Source organism: Homo sapiens, chromosome 1, assembly GCF_000001405.40.
Source record: "Homo sapiens chromosome 1, GRCh38.p14 Primary Assembly".
Lineage (NCBI taxonomy): Eukaryota > Metazoa > Chordata > Mammalia > Primates > Hominidae > Homo > Homo sapiens.
The window spans coordinates 160,887,617-160,912,107 of NC_000001.11; the positions used below are offsets into that span (position 1 = coordinate 160,887,617).

The 24,491-nt window shown below is 41.3% G+C and overlaps 1 pseudogene, besides 1 other annotated feature; it reads left to right on the forward strand.

The window, feature by feature from the left end:
- LOC646347 (spermine synthase pseudogene) lies at window positions 7,273-8,659 on the forward strand (annotated as a pseudogene).
- Window positions 23,863-24,157: a silencer, noted in NCBI's record as "tiled region #12849; HepG2 Repressive non-DNase unmatched - State 24:Quies". NCBI's record gives its function as "represses a minimal TATA promoter and a strong SV40 promoter by Sharpr-MPRA in HepG2 cells {active_cell/tissue: HepG2}" and the evidence as "EXISTENCE:reporter gene assay evidence [ECO:0000049][PMID:27701403]".

Below are 24,491 nucleotides of genomic sequence, written 5' to 3' on the forward strand. Positions count from 1 at the left end.
CCTGCTAACTTTTGTATTTTTGGTAGAAACGAGTTCTCACCATGTTGGCCAGGCTGGTCTCGAACTCCTAGGCACAAACAATCCTGCCTCAGCCTCCCAAAGTGCTGAGAGTATAGGTACGTATGTGACAGTATAGATGTGCATGAAGATAGAAGAGTGTGGAAGAAAGCCCCTCACCACCAACTCACTCCAGCCCCACATCTACATCTCCAGTGACTTGGAGAAGGTTTGTTGTAAAATTACACATACAGAGAAAGATATAAAACATTAAATGTGCAGTTTAATAAATTACAAGAAAGGCAAATACCTGTGTAATTATCATCCTAGCTAAGAAATGAAACTTTAGCAGCACCCAGAAGCTTCCCATATGCTGCTTCCAGATAACAGACCTCTCCCTTCCCAAAGGTAATTACTGGCCTGACTGTGATGGAAATCAGCACTTCCTTGTGCCCATACCACATTGTTCCAAATATTTTAGATTGATAAAATGTCTTGATATCCAGTAGAGCAAGGCTTCTCACTTTGCTCTTCTTTTTTGGTTATTCTTGGTCGTTTACCTCTACACATACACACACACACACACACACACACACACACACACACATGCACACACCCTTTAGGATTTTATTGGAATTACATTGAATCTATAGATCATTTAGAAATAATTTACGTCTTTAAAATATTGAGTGTGGCCTGTTTCTTCATTTATTTGTGTTTTTATTGCTTTTTCGTATCTTATAGCTTCCTTATAGGGATTTTGTGTATGATTTGCTATTTGTTCCTTAGTATTTGACTTTTTTTTTCTTTTTTTAGACAGGGTCTCACTCTGTCACCCAGGCAAGTGATTCTCCCACCTCAGCCTCCTAAGTAGCTGAGAACACAGGTAAATATCACCACGGCCAACTAATTGTTTTATTTTTTGTAGAGATGGGATCTCACTATGTTGCCCAAGCTGGTCTCAAACTCCTGGGCTCAAGCAATCCTCACACCCTTGGCCTTCCAAAGTGTTGGGATTACAGGCGTGAGCCACCATGCTGGCAGTGTTTGACATTTTTGATGCTATTATAAATGCCATATTTTTGAAATTTTATTTTCTAATTGTTTGATGCTTATATATAGAAATACAACTGATTTCACAAATATATATATATTTGTGAGATATATATATATTTGTAAGATATATATATATCTCAATGACAGCACAGGAAAGACAAAGTATCAAAATAAATATAAATTTTCAGCTTGAATAAATTTAGTTTTATGAAAAATAATATTTTTTCTTACTTTTCTCATTTTGCTACAAACCAATGAAAACACTCTTTTGGTGGGGGGTCATTCTAGAGTAGCACTGGCCCCCAGACTACATTTTGGAATCACTGATCCAGGACAAACTTCCTCTGATGCTTCAATACCTGCTTTGCCATTTCTGTCCCAGTGTCACTCCTCAATTTCCTGAGCATAAATGTCACTCATGCCTCTTCTCCCTCAACAATGGGATGGATCACTTCCTGCCCGGTGTTGCCACATCCCTTATGCCCATTATTATCTTAACACGATAACATGACCTTTTCACTGTTTACATGTTTCTCACAGCAGTTCTTAAGAAAAGGTTTATGAGGCACCATATTTGTTAAGCTAATACTTTATTTGTGGAGAGAAAATATTGAACTATATATTTTCAGATATATTAACAAAAGGAAATAGACTGTATCTAGGTCCAAGACAAATATTCGATTTTTTTTTTTTTTTTTTTTTTGAGACATGGTCTTGCTCTGTCACCCAGGCTGGGGTGCAGTGGTACAATCATGGCTAATTGCAGCCTTGACCTCCTGGGCTCAAGCGATACTCCCACCTCTGCCTCCTGAGTAGCTGAGACTACAGGCACATGCCACCACACCCAGATAATTTTCTAATTTTTTTTAGAGATGGGGTCTCACTATGTTCCCCAGGCTGGTCTCTAACTCCTGGGCTCAAGTGATTCTCCCACCTCATTCTCCCAAAGTGCTGGGATTATAGGTGTGAACCACTGTGCCCAGTCCAAATAAAATTTATGCTTCTTATAAAACTATGTCTAACACTTTCATATCTCTGATATTGAGTGCATCCTTCATTCAATGGCATATCATAGTTTGTATTTCATCTTGAGTGGTACATAAAACAATGGTGCATTTTATACCTTAGATTTGGTGAAAAAATGCTAGCTCTGACATTAGCATAGAGTTGGTACTCTGAAATGAGAACTCCCTGCAAGCCCATAGGCTTGAGCTCCAATCCAAGATCATGTACTAGACATGTGACATTGGGCAAACCACTTCATCCCTCTGGACTTCAGTTTTCATGCAGTAAAATGTGAATAACAAGGCCAGGTGCGGTGGCTCATGTCTGTAATCCCAGCACTTTGGGAGGCGAAGGCAGGCAAGTCACTTGAGGTCAGGAGTTCGAGACCAGCCTGGCCAACATGGTGAAACCCCATCTCTACCAAATAATATAAAAAGTAGGTGGCTGTGGTGGTGCGCAACTGTAATTCCAGCTACTTGGGAGGCTGAGGCAGGAGAATTGCTTGAACCCAGGAAGTGGAGGTTAGAGTGAGCTGAGATCTCGCCACTGTGATCCAGCCTGGACAATGCAGCAAGATTCCATCTCAAAAAATAAAAATAAAAATGTGAGTAACGAGCTCTACCTCACAGGACTGTTGTGAGGAGTGAAATGACAAGAGCAAAATGAGAATGTACATGAATATGTGAAAGGTGTGATTATCATTAAGAAAGATTATCTCAAAAACCTGGATTTCTCTTTACTACCACTGCCATCAGCAGCTCACCTCAGCTGGGAAGCCCCAAACTCAATCAACAGGTGTGTATAGCACCCATATTTTATTCTTCATGGATTTTTTACTTTCCTATTTGGCCTGTGCAAAAGCCCCCTTGCTTTACATAAGCCCTTCTGCTACATACTAAGGTATACTTACACACTGCATTGCTTATGTGAGGATTCAGAAGATATTTATTGAAAGACAGAATGATAAAATGTTTACAACTCCAAGAATAGACCTGAAGTGGACCTATAACCAGGGTCTGCTAGAGATTAAATGATTAAATGAAAGTGTTTGGTATTCTAGGAGACTGCTAGAACCAAATTTAAAAAACAAAATCCCAACATGCTTTCATGTTAAAAGCCCTCAACAAACTAGGCATTGAAGGAACATACCTCAAAATAATAACAGCCATATATGACAAACCCACAGCCAACATCATATGGAATGGGCAAAAGCTGGAAGCATTCCCCTTGACAACCAGAACAAGACAAGGATGCCCACTCCCACCACTCCTATTCCACATAGTGCTGGAAGTCATAGCCAGAGCAATCAGGCAAGACAAAGAAGTAAAAGGCATCCAAATAGGAAAAGAGGAAGTCAAACTGTCTCTGTTTGCAAACAATATAATTCTATACCTAGAAAACCCCACAGTCTCTGCCCAAAATCTCCTAGATCTCATAAGCAACTCCAGCAAGGTTTCAAGATTCAAAATAAATGTACAAAAATCAGTAACATTTCTATACACCAACAACGTCCAGGCTAACTGCCAAATCAAGAATGCAATCCCATTCACAATTACCACAAAAAGAATAAAATATCTAAGAATATAACCAACCAGGGAGGTGAAAGATTTCTACAATGAGAATTACAAAGCACTGCTTAAAGAAATCAGAGACAATAAAAAACAAATGGAAAAACATTCCATGCTCATGGATAGGAAGAATCAATATTGTTAAAATGGCCATACTGCCCAGAGCAATTTACACAATCATTGCTATTCTTATCAAACTACTGATGACATTCTTGGCTGGGTGCAGTGGCTCACGTCTGTAATCACAGGACATTGGGAGGCTGAGGTGGGCAGATCACTTGAGGTCAGAATACAAAATACAAAAATACAAAACTCAGCTGGGTGTGGTGGCCCATGCCTGTAATCCCAGCTACTCAAGAGACTGGGGTAGGAGGATTGCTTGAGCCCAGGAGGTGGAGTTTGGGACCAGCCTGGGCAACATGATAAAACCCTGTCTCTACTCAAAATACAAAACTTAGCCGGCTGTGGTGGCACATGCCTGTAATCTCAGCTACTCAGGTAGGAGGATCACTTGAGCCCAGAAGGTGGAGGTTGCAGTGAGCCAAGATAACACCACTGCACTCCAGCCTGGGTGACTGAGGGAGATTCTGTCTCAAAGAAATTAATTAGTTTAATTTAATTTAATTCATATGGAATGAAAAAAGAGCCCAAATAGCCAAAGCAATCCTAAGCAAAAAGAACAAAGCTGGAGGCATCACATTACCAGACTTCAAACTATAGTGAAATGCTACAGTAACTAAAACAGCCGGGTACTGGTACAAAAACAGACACATAGACAAATGAAACAGAATAGAAAGCCCAGAAATAAAGCCACACACCTACAACCATCTAATCTTTGACAAAGTTGGCAAAAAACAGCAAAGGGTAAAGGACTCCTTATTCAATAAATGGTGCTGGGACAACTTGATAGCCATATGCAAAAGATTAAAACTGGATCCCTTTCTCACACCATATAAAAAATCAACTAAAGACAGATCAACTAAAGATTAAATGTAAAACCCAAAACTATAAAACCCTAGAAAAAAGCCTAGGAAATACCATTCTAGACATAGGTCCTGGCAAAGATTTCATGATGAAGACACCAAAACCAGTTGCAACAAAAACAAAAACTGACAAATGGGATCTAATTACGGTATTTAATAAAGAGCTTCTGCACAGCAAGAGAAACTATCAACAGAGTACACAGACAACCCACAGATATTTGCAAGCTATGTATCTGACAAAGGTCTAATAGCCAGAATCTATAAGGGACTTAAAAAATTTTACAAGAAGAAAACAACCCCATCAAAAAGTGGGCAAGGTGTGGGAGTCACCAAGATAGCTGAATAGGAACACCTCCAGTCTACAGCTCCCAGTGTGAGTGAAGCAGAAGATCGGTGATTTCTGCATTTCCAACTGAGGTACCGGGTTCATCTCACTAGGGCTTGTTGGACAGTGGGTGCAGCCCATGGAGCAGGGTGGAGCATTGCCTCACCCAGAAAGTGCAAGGGATAGGGGATTTCCCTTTCCTAGCCAAGGGAAGCTGTGACAGACGGTACCTGGAAAATCGGGACACCACCATCCTAATATTGCACTTTTCCAACGGTCTTAGCAAACGGCATACCAGGAGATTATATCCCATGCCTGGCTTGGAGGGTCCCACACCCACGGAGCCTTGCTCACTGCTAGCATAGCAGTCTGAGATCGAACTGCAAGGCCACAGTGAGGCTAGGGGAGGGGCGTCCACCACTGCTGAGGCTTGAGTAGGTAAACAAAGCAGCCTGGAAGATCGAACTGGGTGGAGCCCACTGCAGCTCAAGGAGGCCTGCCTGCCTCCGTAGACTCCACCTCTGGGGACAGGGCATAGCTGAACAAAAGGCAGCAGAAACTTCTGCAGACTTAAACGTCCCTATCTGACAGCTTTAAAGAGAGTAGTGGTTCTCCCAACATGGAGTTTGAGATCTGAGAACGGACAGACTGACTCCTCAAGTGGGTCCCTGACCCCCAAGTAGACTAACTGGAAGACACCCCCCCAGTAGGGGCCGACTGACACTTCAAACAGACAGGTGCCCCTCTGAGATGAAGCTTCCAGAGGAAGGATCAGGCAGCAACATTTGCTGTTCTGCAATATTTGCTGTTATGCAGCCTCTGCTGGCAATACCTAGGCAAACAGGGTCTGAAGTGGACCTCCAGCAAACTCCAACAGACCTGCAGCTGTGAGTCCTGACTGTTAGAAGGAAAACTAACAAACAGAAAGGACATCCACACCAAAACCCCATCTGTACGTCACCATCATCAAAGACCAAAGGTAGATAAAACCACAAAGATAGGGAGAAACCAGAGCAGAAAAGCTGAAAATTCTAAAAATCACAGCACCTCTTCTCCTCCAAAGGACCACAGCTCCTTGCCAGCAACAGAACAAAGCTGGATGGAGAATGGCTTTCATGACTTGAGAGAAGAAGGCTTCAGAAGATCAGTAATAACAAACATTTCCAAGCTAAAGGAGGATGTTCAAACCCATTGCAAAGAAGCTAAAAACCTTGAAAAAAGATTAGATGAATGGCTAACTATAATAAATAGTGTAGAGAAGACCTTAAATTACCTGATGGAGCTGAAAACCAACCAAGAAGACAAGTTTAGAGAAAAAAGAGTAAAAAGAAATGAACAAAGCCTCCAAGAAATATGGGACTATGTGAAGAGACCAAATCTACATCTGATTGGTGCACCTGAAAGTGACAGGGAGAATGGAACCAAGTTGGAAAACACTCTTCAGGATATTATCCAGGAGAACTTCCCCAACCTAGCAAGGCAGGCCAACATTCAAATTCAGGAAATACAGAGAACACCACAAAGATACTCTTCAAGAAGAGTAACTCCAAGACACATAATTGTCAGATTCACCAAAGTTGAAATGAAGGAAAAGATGTTAAGGGCAGCTATAGAGAAAGGTTGTGTTACCCGCAAAGGGAAACCCATCAAACTAACAGCAGATCTCTCAGCAGAAACTCTACAAGCCAGAAGAGAGTGGGGGTCAATATTCAACATTCTTAAAGAAGAGAATTTTCAACCCACAATTTCATATCCAGCCAAACTAAGCTTCATAAGTGAAGGAGAAATAAAATCCTTTACAGACAAGCAAATGCTGAGAGATTTTGTCACCACCAGGCCTGCCTTACAAGAGCTCCTGAAGGAAGCACTAACCATGGAAAGGAACAAACGGTACCAGGCACTGCAAAAACATGCCAAATTGTAAAGACCAGCGATGCTAGGAAGAAACTGCATCAACTAATGAGCAAAATAACGAGCTAACATCATAACGACAGGATCAAATTCACACATAACAATATTAACCTTAAATGTAAATGGGTTAAATTTTCCAATTAAAAGACACAGACTGGCAAATTGGATAAAGAGTCAAGACCCATCAGTGTGCTGTATTCAGGAGACCCATCTCACATGCAGAGACACACATAGGCTCAAAATAAAGGGATGGAGGAAGATCTACCAAGCAAATGGAAAACAAAAAAAGGCAGGGGTTGCAATCCTAGTCTCTGATAAAACAGACTTTAAACCAACAAAGATCAAAAGAGACAAAGAAGGCCATTACATAATGGTAATGGGATCAACTCAACAAGAAGAGCTAACTCCTAAATACATATGCACCTGGCACTCCCAGCCGGCCACAGCCTGACACGCCGCGCGGCCCCCCAGTCTCCCGCGGCCGCTCCCCCAGGCATGGCACAGGGCCTCGCCTCACTATGGCAGCAGCACGGCACAGCACGCTCGACTTCATGCTCAGTGCCAAAGCTGATGGTGAGACCATTCTAAAAGGCCTCCAGTCCATTTTCCAGGAGCAGGGGATGGCGGAGTCGGTGCACACCTGGCAGGACCATGGCTATTTAGCAACCTACACAAACAAGAATGGCAGCTTTGCCAATATGAGAATTTACCCACATGGATTGGTGTTGCTGGACCTTCAGAGTTATGATGGTGATGCGCAAGGCAAAGAAGAGATCGACAGTATTTTGAACAAAGTAGAAGAAAGAATGAAAGAATTGAGTCAGGACAGTACTGGGCGGGTGAAACGATTACCACCCATAGTGCGAGGAGAGCCATCGACAGATATTGGCCCACCGCCGATGGGCGCCTGGTTGAATATGACATAGATGAAGTGGTATATGATGAAGATTCACCTTATCAAAATATAAAAATTCTACACTCGAAGCAGTTTGGAAATATTCTCATTCTTAGTGGGGATGTTAATTTGGCAGAGAGTGATTTGGCATATACCCGGGCCATCATGGGCAGTGGCAAAGAAGATTACACTGGCAAAGATGTACTCATTCTGGGAGGTGGAGACAGAGGCATATTGTGTGAAATAGTCAAACTAAAACCAAAGATGGTCACTATGGTAGAGACTGACCAAATGATGATTGATGGGTGTAAGAAATACATGCGAAAAACGTGTGGCGATGTCTTAGACAATCTTAAAGGAGACTGCTATCAGGTTCTAATAGAAGACTGTATCCCGGTACTGAAGAGATACACCAAAGAAGGGAGAGAATTTGATTATGTGATTAATGATTTGACAGCTGTTCCAATCTCCACGTCTCCAGAAGAAGATTCCACATGGGAGTTTCTCAGACTGATTCTTGACCTCTCAATGAAAGTGTTGAAACAGGATGGGAAATATTTTACACAGGGGAACTGTGTCAATCTGAAAGAAGCACTGTCGCTCTATGAAGAACAGCTGGGGCGCCTGTATTGTCCTGTGGAATTTTCAAAGGAGATCATCTGTGTCCCTTCATACCTGGAATTGTGGGTATTTTACACTGTTTGGAAGAAAGCTAAACCCTGAAGATCAGTAGCCCCTAATCACATGTGCTGCAAATAGCCTTCCTGACCTCCATATGCTGTACATGACATCAAAATGAGTCAGGCAATTGATTGTGAAGTCCTTAAAGTTTTCCTTTTTTTAGTAATTATTTTTAATTTAAAAAAGCAAATGGAAAATGTATATTTTGATGAGCTTAGGGTGTTTTTTTTGAAAGTCAGCTGAAGGATGGTTAGACAGCACAGCGAAGACTGCTAAATGCACTGACCCCCCCATTAGAATGTGATTTTTGTTCCTTTTTATTTATCTGTGGGCTTTTGTTTTTGTTTTTGTTTTGGTAGATCTTCAGTTTGGATATTTGGAGGAGTGAACATCGTTGTTTTGCTGGAGGGAAGATCTTGATGGTGTTTCTTTCCCCAAAAATTGACTTAGATATTAAAAATTGGTGCTTATAAGAGAGAGTTAAAAAAATAGGATTGCTTCAATTAAAATTACAAAAGAGAAAAAAAAATACATATGCACCCAATACAGGAGCACCCAGATTCATAAAGCAAGCACTTAGGGACCTACAAAGAGACTTAGACTCCCACACAATAATATTGGGAGACTTTAACACCCCACTGTCAACATTAGACAGATCAACGAGACAGAAAGTTAACAAGGATATCGAGGAATTGAACTCAGCTCTGCACCAAGTGGACCTAATAGACATCTACAGAACTCTCCACCCCAAATCAACAGAATATACATTCTTCTCAGCACCACATCACACTTATTCCAAAATGGACCACATAGTTGGAAGTGAAGCACTCCTCAGCAAATGTAAAAGAACAGAAATTATAACAAACTGTCTCTCAGACCACAGTGCAATCAAACTAGAACTCAGGATTAAGAAACTCACTCAAAACTGCTCAACTACATGGGAAATGAACAACCTGCTCCTGAATGACTACTGGGTACATAATAAAATTGAAGGCAGAAATGAAGATGTTCTTTGAAACCAATAAGAAAAAAGACACAACATACCAGAATCTCTGGGACACATTTAAAACAATGTGTGGAAGGAAATGTATAGCACTAAATGCCCACAAGAGAAAGCAGGAAAGATCTAAAATTGACACCCTAACATCACAATTAAAAGAACTAGAGAAGCAAGAGCAAACAAATTCAAAAGCTAGCAGAAGGCAAGAAATAACTAAGATCAGAGCAGAACTGAAGGAGATAGAGACACAAAAAACCCTTCAAAAAATCAATGAATCCAGGAGCTGGTTTTTTGAAAAGATCAACAAAATTGATAGACCACTAGCAAGACTAATAAAGAAGAAAAGAGAGAAGAATCAAATAGATGCAACAAAAAATGATAAAGGGGATATCACCACCGATCCCACAGAAATACAAAATACCATCTGAGAATACTATAAACACCTCTATGCAAATAAACTAGAAAATCTAGAAGAAACAGATAAATTCCTGGACACATACACCCTCCCAAGACTAAACCAGGAAGAAGTTGAATCCCTGAATAGACCAATAACAAGCTGTGAAATTGAGGCAATAATTAATAGCCTACAAACCAAAAAAACTCCAGGACAAGATGGATTCACAGCCAAATTCTACCAGAGGTACAAAGAGAAGCTGGTACCATTCCTTCTGAAACTATTCTAATCAATAGAAAAAGAGGGAATCCTCCCTGACTCATTTTATGAGGCCAGCATCATCCTGATACCAAAGCCTTGCAGAGACACAACAGAAAAAAAGAATTTTAGACCAGTATCCCTGATGAACATTGATGCAAAAATCCTCAATAAAATACTGGCAAACTGAATCTAGCAGCACATCAAAAAGCTTATCCACCACAATCAAGTCGGCTTCATCCTTGGGATGCAAGGCAGGTTAAACATATGCAAATCAATAAATGTAATCCATCATATAAACAGAACCAAAGACAAAAACCACATGATTATCTCAGTAGATGCAGAAAAGGCCTTTGACAAAATTCAACAGCCCTTCATCCTAAAAACTCTTAATAAACTAGGTATTGATGGGACGTATCTCAAAATAATAAGAGCTATTTACGACAAACCACAGCCAATATCATACTGAATGGGCAAAAACTGGAAGCATTCCCTTTGAAAACTGGCACAAGACAGGGATGCCCTCTCTCACCACTCCTATTCAACATAGTGTTGGAAATTCTGGCCAGGGCAATCAGGCCAGAGAAAGAAATAAAGGGTATTCAATTAGGAAAAGAGGAAGTCAAATTGTCCCTGTTTGCAGATGACATGATTGTATATCTAGAAAACCCCATCGCCTCAGTCCAAAATCTCCTTAAGCTGATAAGCAACTTCAGCAAAGTCTCAGGATACAACATCAATGTGCAAAAATCACAAGCATTCCTATACACCAATAACAGACAAAGACAGAGAGCCAAATCATGAGTGAACTCCATTCACAATTGCTTCAAAGAGAATAAAATATCTAGGAATCCAACTCACAAGGGATGTGAAGGACCTCTTCAAGGAGAACTACAAACCACTGCTCAATGAAATAAAAGAGGACACAAACAAATGGAAGAACATTCCATGCTCATGGATAGGAAAAATCAATATTGTGAAAATGGCCATACTGCCCAAGGTAATTTATAGATTCAATGCCATCCCCATCAAGCTACCAATGACTTTCTTCACAGAATTGGAAAAAAATACTTTAAAGTTCATATGGAACTAAAAAAGAGTCCGCATTCCCAAGACAATCCTAAGCCAAAAGAATAAAGCTGGAGACATCACACTACTTGACTTCAAACTGCACTACAAGGCTACAGTAACCAAAACAGCATGGTACTTGTACCAAAACAGAGATATAGACCAATGGAACAGAACAGAGCCCTCAGAAATAATATCCCAAAACTACAACCATCTGATCTTTGACAAACCTGACAAAAACAAGAAATGGGGAAATGATTTCTTATTTAAGAAATGGTGCTGGTAAAACTGGCTAGCCATATGTAGAAAGCTGAAACTGGATCCCTTCCTTACAACTTATACAAAAATTAATTTAAGATGGATTAAAGACTTTAATGTTAGACCTAAAACCATAAAAACCCTAGCAGAAAATCTAGGCAATACCATTCAGGACATAGGCATGAGCAAGGACTTAATGACCAAAACACCAAAAGCAATGGCAACAAAAGCCAAAATTGACAAATGGGATCTAATTAAACTAAAGAACTTCTGCACAGCAAAAGAAACTACCACCAGAGTGAACAGGCAACCTACAGAATGGGAGAAAATTTTTACAATCTACCCATCTGACAAAGGGCTAATATCCAGAATCTACAAAGAACTTAAACAAATTTACAAAAAAAATCAAACAACCTCATTGAAAACTGGGCTAAGGATATGAACAGACACTTCTCAAAAGAAGACATTTATGCAGCCAACAGACACATGAAAAAATGCTCATCATCACTGGCCATAAGAGTAATGCAAATCAAAACTACAATGAGATAACATCTCACACCAGTTAGAATGGCGATCATTAAAAAGTCAGGAAACAACAGGTGCTGGAGAGGATGTGGAGAAATAGGAACGCTTTTACACTGTTGGTGGGACTGTAAACTAGTTCAACCATTGTGGAAGACAGTGTGGCGGTTGCTCAAAGATCTAGAACTAGAAATACCGTTTGACCCCGCCATCCCATTACTGGGTATATACCCAAAGGACTATAAATCATGCTGCTATAAAGACACATGCACACGTATGCTTATTGCGGCACTATTCACAATAGCAAAGACTTGGAACCAACCCAAATGTCCATCAATGATAGACTGGATTAAGAAAATGTGGCACATGTACACCATGAAATACTATGCAGCCTTAAAAAAGGATGAGTTCATGTCCTTTGTAGGGACATGGATGAAGCTGGAAACCATCATTCTGAGCAAACTGTCGCAAGGACAGAAAACCAAACACCACATGTCCTCACTCATAGGTGGGAATTGAACAATAAGAACACTTGGACACAGGGTGGTGAACATCTCACACTGGGACCTGTCATGGGGTGGAGGGAGGTGAGAGGGATAGCATTAGGAGAAATACCTAATGTAAATGACGAGTTAATGGGTGCAGCACACCAACATGGCACATGTTTACATATGTAACAAACCTGCACGTTGTGCACATGTACCCTGGAACTTAAAGTATAATAAAAAAAAAAACAAAACAGAAACTTGGGGTGGGGTTGAAGGTAGTGACTTGATATTTACTGAGCTATACTGGAATTCAAATGTAGTTCTTCTCTTTCAAAGAATAAAATCTCTCTTAACTTCAAAAAAAAAGTGGGCAAGGATATAAACAGGCACTTTTCAAAAGAAGACATACATGTGGCCAACAAACATATGAAAAAATGCTCAATATCACTAATCACTAAAGAAATGCAAATCAAAACCACAATGAGATACCATCTCACACCAGTCAGAATGGCTATTACTAAGAAGTCAAAAAATAATAGATATGGTTGAGGTTGTGGAGAAAAGCGAATGCTTATACGCTGCTGGTGGCAATGTAAATAAGTTCAGCCACTGTGAAAAGCAATTTGGCAATTTCTCAAAGAACTTAAAACAGAACTACCATTCGACCCAGCAATTCTATTATTGGGTACATGCCCAAAGGAAAATCAATGGTACTACTAAAGACACATGCACACGTATGTTCATTGCAGCACTATTCACAATAGCAAAGACATAGAATTAACCTAAATGCCCATCAACAGTAGACTGGATAAAGAAAATGTGGCCCATACATACCATGGAATACTATGCAGCCCATAAAAAGGAACAAGATCATGTCCTTTGCAGCAACATAGATGGAACTGGAGGTCATTGTCCTAAGCAAACTAACACTGGAACAGAAAACCAAATACCACATTTTCTCACTTATAAATGGGAGCTAAATATTAAGCACACATGGACACAAAGAAGGGAAAAACAGACACCACGGCCTACTGGAGGGTGGAGGGTGGAGGGTGGGAGAAGGGTGAGGATCAAAAAACTACCTATCCGGTACTATACTTATTACCTGGGTAACAAAATAATCTGTACACCAAACCCCCACAACATGCAATTTACCTACACGTGAAATCTGCACATGTACCCCTGAATCTAAAATAAAAATTAAAAATAAAATAAAAAATAAAACCTTTGGCATAAAAAAATAATTAAATTAAAAATAAAAATTCCATTACTTCGGCATTTTCTTATTTTGTAATCCACATCACTTACAAGTTGAGACATTTCAAGTAGGTTATATGCTGCGTTAAATTTTCACTTTGAATGAAGGGGCTCTCCCTTGGAAATCGAGCATTCTGGCTACATCCATCCCCTGTTCAAAATCCTCTTAGGGCATCTTCCTGCTTTAATTCCCACTTACTGGTAGAACGGTGATATGGCACATGTTTTATATTCACTATTCATTTGCAGTTTTCCCAGAGCCACAGATCCTTTATCTGGAGATACTATTAATTAGAAGAATTACTTTATTCATGGAAAAGCCTGCACCCTTCTCCTTTGGAGGCTGAGTAGAGTGGACCTTTGTGCCTTTTCTGGCTACCCCACACCAGAACACCGTTCTTCTTTTGGAGGAATCTCTCTCACACCCTGTATCATGTAAGATTTGGAGGGAGGCAGAGCCCCATCTCTAACTAAGGAAGCTGAAGGTCCCGATTCTCCCTTGCACCCCTCTGGACAGTCCATGATGCAGGCTGATGACCTAGGCTTGGCTGATGATCACTAGGCTTGGCTAGTCAGCGTTGCAGCCCAGAATTCTAAATCTTGAGACAGAGAAGCAAAGTCAGAGAGTCAGTTTGGTAATGACCACAGTAGTGGCAGCATCAGCAGCCCAGAGCAGCCTCAGAGAGCCTGACAGACACAGAGCCAGCAGCAGCATCCTGACAAGATTGGAGCTGCAACCAACCACAGTTGTGTTCCCTGAAGCTCTCCCTCCTTTGAGTTCCAGCCCATTTTCCAAGCCTAGGATGCCATGCCAGCCTTCCCACTTTCCATTGATTCTAGAATAGTTCTGAGATTCTAAAATAAATTCCTTTCTCCTTCAGTGAATTGTGTGTGTGTGTGTGTGTGTGAGAGAGAGAGAGAGAGAGAGAGAGAGAGATCTAAAATTCTTGACCACAAGAAAAAATAATCTCAGAGGAACCCCATATTGACAATATTTCCAGTCAAAATTTTATGAAAAACTAGACAAAAGTATGAAGCAATTGTACTTTGTTATACATCTTAATCTTCTGCCAAAGTGAATATCATTTTTTGTTGTTGTTGTTCTTGAGACAGAGCCTCACTCTGTTGCCCAGGCTGGAGTGCAGTGGTGCAATCACGGTTCACTGCAGTCTCAACCCACTGGGCTCAAGCAATCCTCCCACCTCAACCTTCCAAGTAGCTGGGACTACAGGCACACACCACCACACCTGGCTAGTGTTTTTAGGTTTTTGCAGAGAGGAGGTCTCACTATATTGCCCAGGCTTGTCTCAAACTCCTGGGCTCAAGCAATCCTCCCACTTGGTCCCCCAAAGTGCTAAGATTATAGATATGAGCCAACATGCCAGCCAATATCATAATTTTATTCTTATCTCTTATTTTAGAAAAAGAAGAAATACAGTCATTCCCTCTTATCTTCAGGGTATATGTTCCAAGACCCCAATGGATACCCAAAACCAATGATAGTACCAACCCTATATGTAGTGTGTTTTTCCTATACACACGTACCAATGATAAAGTTTAATTTGTAAATTAGGCACAGAGGCCAGGCACGGTGACTCTATACCTGATATCCCAGCACTCTGAGAGGCCAAGGCAGGCAGATTGAGCCCAGGAGTCTGAGACCAACCTGTGGAACACAGTCAGAACTCGTTGCTACAAAAACTAAACAAAATTAGCCTGACATGCTGGCTTGCACCTGCAGTCCCAGCTACTCAGGAGGCTGAGGCAGGAGGATTGCCTGAGCCCAGTAGGTAAACATTGCAGTGAGCTGAAATCACGCCACTGCACTCCAGCAACAGAGTGAGACCCTGTATCAAAAAAAAATAAAATTGAAAATAAAAATAAGAAATAAATTAGGCACTGTAAGAGATTATCAGCAAAAACTAATAATAAAATAGAGCAATTATAACAACATATTGTAATGAAAGTTATATAAATATGGTTTCTCTCTCTCTCTCTCTCATTACCTTATTGCACTGTACTCACCTATTTTCAGACCATGGTTGACCTCAGGTAATTGAAATTATAGAAAACAAGGCCAGGCATGGTGGCTCACGCCTGTAATCCCAGCACTTTGGGGTGCCAAAGTGGGGGCATATCACTTGAGGTCAGGAGTTTGAGACCAGCCTGGCCAACATGGTGAAACCCCCTCTCTACTAAAAATACAAAAATTAGCAGGGTGTGGTGGCAGGTGCCTGTAGTCCCAGCTACTTGGGAGGCTGAGGAAGGAGAATGACTTGAACCCAGGAGGCGGAGGTTGCAGTGAGGCAAGATGGTGCCATTGCACTCGTCTGGGGAACAGAGTGAGACTCCGTCTCAAAAAAAAAAAAAAAAGAAAAGAAAAAAGAAAAAAAAAGAAATTATAGAAAACAAAACTGTGAATAAGGGGGTACTATTTGTATAAACAAACCTATGGATGCACAAAAGGTTGCAGATGCTCAAATGACATTGCTAAGTCAATCTTTTTGTGCTGCTGACACCATTGGCAGGGAGAACAGCTTTAAAAAAAAAGAAAATCAAAGAATTTGAAACTTCAGTTACTGCCCCAAGACTTCTCTGTATAATGCACACGCCTTCTCTCCTTAACCAGGCAGCCCTTCTTCTTCTAGTATAGAGCATGTGCTAGGTAAGGTCCTACCATACCAGGGTTGGGACAAGCCGACATTGTCTATCCCCTAGATGCTCTGAGAAGAACATAACAGCAACAACATATATTCCTGCCAGAGATGTTTAGCCTGGAACCAATAACCTGAAGGAAGCAGCCAGACAAACCCAAGTTGAGGAACATTCTGCAAAATAGTTGACCCCCTAGACTCTTCAAAAATGATAATATCATTAAAGACCAAAAATAATCTCAGTTACTAGTCTAGATTAAAGGAACCTAGGTACACACGACAAATAAATGCAGTGCATAATCCCTGGTTGGATTCTGGATCAAACAAAAAGCTATAAAGAACATTATTGGAATAATTAGTGAAATTTAATATAAGCTACTCTTAAGTACTAGTATTTTATTAATGTAAAATTTCTTGAATTATATTTGTATTATGTAGGAGATTAATGTTGAAATAATTAAAGGTAAAGTGTCACAGGCTGGGCAAAGTGGCTCACGCCTGTAATCCCAACAGTTTGGGAAGCCAAGGTGGGCAGATCACCTGAGGTCGGGAGTTCAGGATCAGCCTGGCCAATATGGTGAAACCCTCTCTCCACTAAAAATACAAAAAAATTAGTCAGGCATGGTGGTAGGCTCCTGTAATCCCAGCTATTTGGGAGACTGAGGCAGAAGACTTGCTTGAACCCAGGAGGCAGAAGTTGCAGTGAGCCAAGACGGTACCAATGCACTCCAGCCTGGGTGACAGAGGGAGACTCTGTCTAAAAAAAAAAAAAAAAAGTGTTACACTTGCAACTCTTTTCTAAGTTCTTCAACAAACCATAGTGAGAGAGAGAGAGAAAACAAATGTAGCAAAATGTCTAGATGAAGGAGTTCATTGCCAATCTTTTGCACCTTGTAGGGGATACATGGCAACATATTCAAGCTTCTATACAAGGCATTTGAGGTCGAGGTATGGCAAAATACTGAAGCACTGTGTGCATGTTTTTTGGGCATGAGACTGAAATTCCTTGACCCTGAAAACAGAGCAAGGAACAGAATGTGTGATAAGGAGCTGTGTGATAAGGAGTTGTGTGATAAGGAGCGCTGAAAACAGCCTCCTGAGAATGTGGTCTGAGTGATTTTAGATGTAATAAACAAGGCCGTATGTGCCTCATGACCCAACTGCAAATTGTTACCTAGTGGATGTCTCTTGGTTGTCTAAATTGTAATTCTTGTACAATTACAATTTAGATTACAATTACAATTACAATTAGAACTACAATTTAGAGAGGGCTTGTTGCCCTCTTAATAAATACTTGGCAGACAGATCTTAGAGTGGCACTCTCTCAGAAGAGCTACTCCCTGCCCTGCTCAGCTGGAATTCTCTGAGTACTTCATTCTTGGCGTTCGCTGTAGCTACAAGCTGCAAGTGGTGACCCTGACATAACTGCGTTGAAATTACACGTGGAGTATGAAAACTCATCAAACTTCAGGGAATACCAGTAAGGGACAGTCCCAACCCATTTCAGGAAGATGGGACCAACGCATATAATACCAGGGATTGGGCTATCATGGGTCAGGAATTGACCAAAGAGCAGAAAGTATTTTTTAAAATGGTGCAACAATTACTTAAGGCTATCCACTGCACCTTAGAGTCTGAAGATTTGCATCAGCTTATGCTTTTTATTCAGCAGGAATGCTCTTGGTTCCCTGATCAAGGAACATTAGACTTAGAGTTATGGGAGGAGGTGGATCACTGCCTGAAAACAGGATTTAGGCAGGGCCATTTTACTAAGGTTATCATTTTGACCACCTGGGCCCTGGTACGCTCTGCATTGTACCCTCTTTATATGCCAGATTGCGGTGAGTCAGACTGCCCATTAGCTCCACCTGAAGGGAATTCAGGAGATTTAAAGAAAAACAGGAACCAGAACAACAGGGAGGGGCTCCTCTCCCTACTTCATTCCCTTCCGTAGGGCATAAGGAGGACACTTTCTAGTGATGATGAGGACAGACCGGAGCTTTTTCCTCCCCCAATAGAAAAGCCATTGCCCTCCTTTCCTCCACCCCTAAAAAAATCCACATCTATTGGCCCTGTTCAGGCTACAGTGCCTCCCATCCCCCTGGAGGAGATTGGAGGCCACCCAAGGGATGGACGGTTCTTGGATAAGACCCCCTGTCAGTGAACATCTATATTGTCACGCACGTCCGTGTGAAGAGACCACCAAACAGGCTTATGTGAGCAATAAAGCTTTTTAATCACCTGGGTGCAGGCGGGCTGAGTCTGAAAAGAGAGTCAGCAAAAGGTGGTGGGATTATCATTAGTTCTTATAGGTTTGGGATAGGCATACAAAGTACATTCCCAAGGGCGGGGAGAATATTACAAAGTACCTTCCTAAGGGCAGGGGAGAATATATCATATCAGTTAGGGTGGGGCAGGAACAAATCACAATGGTGGAATGCCATCAGTTTAGCCTATTTTCACTTCTTTTGTGGATCTTCAGTTGCTTCAGGCCATCTGGATGTATACGTGCAGGTCACAGGGGATATGTTGGCTTAGCTTGGGCTCAGAGGCCTGACATATATGATCAGGTGAACGCGTTCTCAGTGACGACTCCTCATCAAACTTCCCTAGTAGAGGGGTGCCTCCAGGAGGGACTTAAAAAGGGAGACTCTTAGGCACTTTTTGGCGCATTCCCTGTCATTGTTCAAAATGATAGGAGACGGCATGAGAGTTTGCCTTTTACTGTTTTTAAAGAGATAAAGAAAAGTATCTGTGAAAATGGTGTACATTCACCCTTTACCCAGGGGATGATTGAGGCTCTGGGAAATGGCTATAAGATGACTCCGCATGATTGGAAAACTTTAGTAAAAGTTTTGGTTTCAGCTGCAGAATATACTGTGCGGTGGAGTGAGTACAGTGATCTATCCATGCAGCAGCCCTTGCAAAATTTGGATAATAATATCCCAACACAGCTTGATATGCTATTGGGACCAGGTCCTTTTGCTTGAGCTCAGGCTCAAGCTCAAATAAACAGCCATCTATTTCCACAATGCTTGCAGCTAGCAATACAGGCATAGAAGAGGATACCCACGGGACAATCCCAGGGTTCCTTTATAACAGTTAAACAGAGTGCCACAGAAACATTCCTTTATAACAGTTAAACAGAGTGCCACAGAAACATACGTTGAATTTATCAACTGATTGCAAGCTGCACGTAGTGACCAACATCACATCAGCAGAGCTATAAAAAAACTCTGCTATTCAAATCCACTGCACACGGAATAAATCAGAAGATAAAATAAAAGTCTGTCAAAATTCATACAACTTGTGAGTGAGTTCTAAAAAGCTTAGTTTAGAAGGGCTAGAGAAAGAAAAACTTCAATGGGGCCCAAATCAGAATGCTTGTAATGAAACCCAGTCTCCAGGAAAACAACACTCACATGTGTTCAATCATATAAAATGATTTGTAACATCTCTAATTAGGTGAATCAACTAGAAACAAACTCACTAGTCAAAATAAATTTTTAAAGTATCTTGTAACCTATATTTTACTTTTCTGAGTATATTAAGGGGCTGCCAGCCCAGAGATATACTTAAGATATAGGCAAAAAATCCCCAGGCCTTTACACAAAAGATTTCCACTTTCAAACCAATGTCAGTGGACATTGATAAAAGTATAGCAGCATCCTCTACTAAGGTGATTTCATTTATTCCCTGCAACCCACTAATAAATATCCCACTTCTCCCAAACAGTATTTAAGCTCCTAGCTAAGCAAAAAACTATTGTCTATTAGCATTCAACTGAAGAAAAGAAAGATAAAATATTGTCTTGTTTCCATCACTGTATTACTTGGGCAACATAATTACATAATTCTTACCCTAAGAGAAAGCCTTCATATTTTTTTAAAAGTCTTTTCAAATAAAATCTTCTTATGTTTTAAACAATATAAAATACAAACTTTCACTTTATTTATTGTAAATTATAAAGAGATCATTGTCTTAATATATTGTTAGCTTCAAGCTTCCTAAAATATAAAAACATTGTTGTCTAAAGTCACATATTAACACTAAGCTCCGTGGTTTACAGAATCTCCTACATTTTTGCAAGCTCAAGCTGATCATTCCTTTTTTTATCAGAACAACCACAGTCTTAAACAACAGTTTTATTTGGCGCTCACTCAAGCTCGCATGATTATTAAAACCTGTCCTGACTGCCAATGGCATTCGCTCTCCCCTTTTTCGTTAGGACTTGGTGCCAACCCACGAGGTCTGGTGCCTAATGCTATCTGGCAAACTGATATTACTCAGCATCCACCCTTTAGATGCTTCAAATTTCTCCACGTTACTGTAGACACTTATACAGGCCTGAAATATGCTACTCCTCAGACTACAGAAAAAACTAAAGATGCAATTGCTCATCTTTTTAAATCTATTATGACTTTAGGCCTTCCACAAATTACAAAAACTGATAATAGACATTGCTGTCTTAGTGCTCGATTTACATATGCATTTACAACTGTGGCACATACAACACAAGACTGGCATTCCTTATAACTCAACCAGTCAGGCCAATGTTGAGCGAGCTCATCAAACTCTTAAAGTATATCTTAACAAACAAAAAAGGGGGAATATTGGGCTTTCTCCTCGAGAACAGGTAGGAGACAACTGAACCCCTCCTGATGATGAAAGACCTGTCGTTGGAGAATCGACCAGCAATGATAGCGATGACTCGGAAGGCATCTGACATTACCTGAGGGCAGCTAAAGAAATTGGATCAACAGGCAACTATCCAGCTTGTTGCCATGGGAGCCCCTGCAATTGCAGAGAATTGGTTTCTTATGTATCTGGCAGTAATTGGGGGAGCTTTTGAGAAAGTAAGACAGACATGGATGCTGGGGTGGCTGGTGATTCTCATCCTTTGCCAAGTGGGATCAGCTCAAGAACATGTTTACTGGAATCATATTCTGAATCCCACTGTTGGAAATGTTATTATGTGGTGGGATGCTGACCCGCCTTTGTCATCTAATGATACTTCTTGGATGGGAGGTCGATGGATGCCCCTGTCTTACCCCTTAACTGAAAATTTGGGATGGATTAAACTCAATGACTCCTTGACTTTATTGTCTAGCAACCCCCTTCTTTGTTTTTCTACAATAGCCCATGATAAGCACATTACTCTTATTCCTCTGGAGTATCTTTACTGTCACCTCAAAAGGGATGCCAAGCCCGCAAACTTGACCTTTATTTCTGCTGTTACCATTAATCTCACTAAGGTCTCTAATGAAGCTACACAAGTGCCTAGTCTTCTTATATGCTGTCTGAGAAGGGACTGGCAATGTAAGTTTGAGGCTGTCCAGTGTGAACCCCATGCAGACAACCTGCGCCACGACAAGGGCCTCTGCTTAATAATGGCACCTTACTTGATTGGGGTCCCCATGCTAATCTTATGTCTGCAAATCAGACTATTGGATTTGGGAGTCCTCCAATAGTTCCATCACCTGGTCAGAGTATGGGCTTTCAGGACCAATATTACAACTAAAAGGGAAGCAAGCTTTAAGCCCTGCTCATACCCAAATTTGGAGACTAGGTCTTCCCTTTTTTGAATGCGTTGTTTTGTATGGTGATTACATTTACAGCAGTGGCAACTATACCCTCTCCTTGCACAATAATGTTACTGATACAGTCCTGATTTGTACTACACACCCCTAGATAATTTTGTCTGGGCAGGGTATTCCTAACATAGAACAGAATCAATCCTTATATAGTATTACTTTCTCTTCCAGTAGTTGGTACGCTACATGCTTGTCTCATCAAAATGTTACATAGTTAAATATAACCTATGGCATGATCCTAAAATGGCATGTAGAATTGTGGCTCCCTGTAAATTTAACCCTACGGTTATTTAGAAAAGCACTATCTCATACTCAAAAAAAAGATTTTTGGCCACTTTAATTGCCTTTTTTGTCTCAGCTATTATTATACTGTGTCCGGAACTGTTTCCTTCTGGTGGGTTCTTGGTCTCGCTGACTTCAGGAGTGAAGCCACAGACCCTCGTAGTGAGTGCTACAGTTCTTAAAGATGGTGTGTCCAGAGTTTATCCCTTCAGATGTTCAGATGTGTTCGGAGTTTCTTCCTTCCGTTGGGTTCGTGGTCTGGCTAACTTCAGGAGTGAAGCTGCAGACCTTCACAGTGAGTGTTACAGCTCTTAAAGGTGGCACATCGAGTTGTCTGTTCCTCCCGGTGGGTTCGTGGTCTCACTGACCTCAGGAGTGAAGCCGCAGACCCTCGTGGTGAGTGTTACAGCTAATAAAGATAGTGTGGACCCAAAGAGTGAGCAGCAGCAATATGTATTGTGAAGAGGGAAAGAACACTTCCACACAGTGGAACAGGACCCAATGGGGTTGCGGCTGCTGGCTCTAGTGGCCAGCGTTTATTCCCTTATTTGGCCCCACCCACCTCCTGCTGATTGGTCCATTTTACAGAGTGCTGATTGGTACATTTACAAACCTTTAGCTAGACACAGAGCACTGATTGGTGTGTTTACAATCCTTTATCTAGACAGAAAAGTTCTCCAAGTCCCAACAGGACCCAGAAGCCCAGCTGGCTTCACTTCTCAATACTAGCAACTGCCGCTACTACAGCTGTTTCTCTGACACAATCTATTCACACAGCCTTGGTAGCAAACCACATGGTATACAAAGTAACCCATGGATTTCAAGAACAAGTAAATATTGATAAAACTATTTTGTCTCACCTGGAGGCTCTTAAAGCCGCTGTTGAATGGCTGGGGGATCAGCAGCAGGTATTCATTACTTGTCAAAATTTACATTGTGATTGGCAATATAATTCTATCTGTGTCACACCTCTGCCATATAATAGCTCCCAATATACTTGGGAGAGAGTGAAGGCGCACCTACAAGGGGCTTATCAGGACCACTTATCCTCTCAAATTTCTACTCTTGAGTGCGAGTTAAAGAAACAACTTAAAGAATGATCACAGCAGGCCAGGCGCGGTGGCTCATGCTTGTAATCCTAGCACTTTGGGAGGCCAAGGCGGGCAGATCACGAGGTCAGGAGATCTAGACCATCCTGGCTAACACGGTAAAACCTCATCTCCACGAAAAATACAAAAAATTAGCCGGGCGGGGTCGCGGGCGCCTGTAGTCCCAGCTACTCGGGAGGCTGAGGCAGGAGAATGGCGTGAACCCAGGAGGCAGAGGTTGCAGTGAGCCAAGGTCGTGCCACTGCACTCCGGCCTGGGCAACAGAGCGAGACTCTGTCTCAAAAAAAAAAAAAAAAAAAAAAGAATGATCACAGCAATTACAAACAAATATCCTTCAGCAATTACAAGAAGGTTTTCAATGGTTGAACCTGAACACTTAGTTGTCTGGATTAAACATACACATTTGGGTGATGGCCACTATACCTATTCTTTTTTGTATCTGTTTGCTAGGCATCTGCAAATGGCTCTGTGCTGCCCCCCGCCCACGCATCTATGATCAGGAAAGAACGATAGAAGCTTACCTTGCATTAGATAACCAGCATGCTCTAAGAATTAAAGAAGGGGGAGATGTGGGGGGTGCACAGCAACATATTCAAGCTTATGTGCAAGGCATTTGAGGTCGAGGCATGGGAAAATACTGAGGCACTGTGTGTATGTTGTTTGCGCATGAGACTGAAATTCCTTGACCCTGAAAACAGGGCAAGGAACGGAATGTGTGATAAGGAACTGTGTAATAAGGAGTTGTGTGATAAGGAGGGCTGAGAACAGCCTCCTAAGAATGTGGTCTGAGTGCTTTTAGATGTAACAAATAAGGCTATATGTGCCTCGTGACCAGACCGCAAATCGTTACCTAGCCAATGTCTCGTTTGTCTAAATTGTAGTTTAAGAAGCCCTCTCAATAAATACTTGGCTTACCCATCTTAAAGCAGCACTCTCTCAGAAGAGCTGCTACTTGTCCCGCTCAGCTGGAATTGTCTGAATACTTCATTCTCGGTGTTCGCTGCAGCTACAAGCTGCAGACCTTGTTTCTTATTCTGCTCTTAACAAATTACCACAAACGTGGTGTCTTAGAACACAAATTTGTTGTTTTAAAGTTCTAGAAGTCAGAAATTCAAAATGAGCTTTATGGAGCTGAGAGGTGTTGGCAGAGCTGTTTCTTCTCAGGGCTCAGGGAAGAATGTTTTCT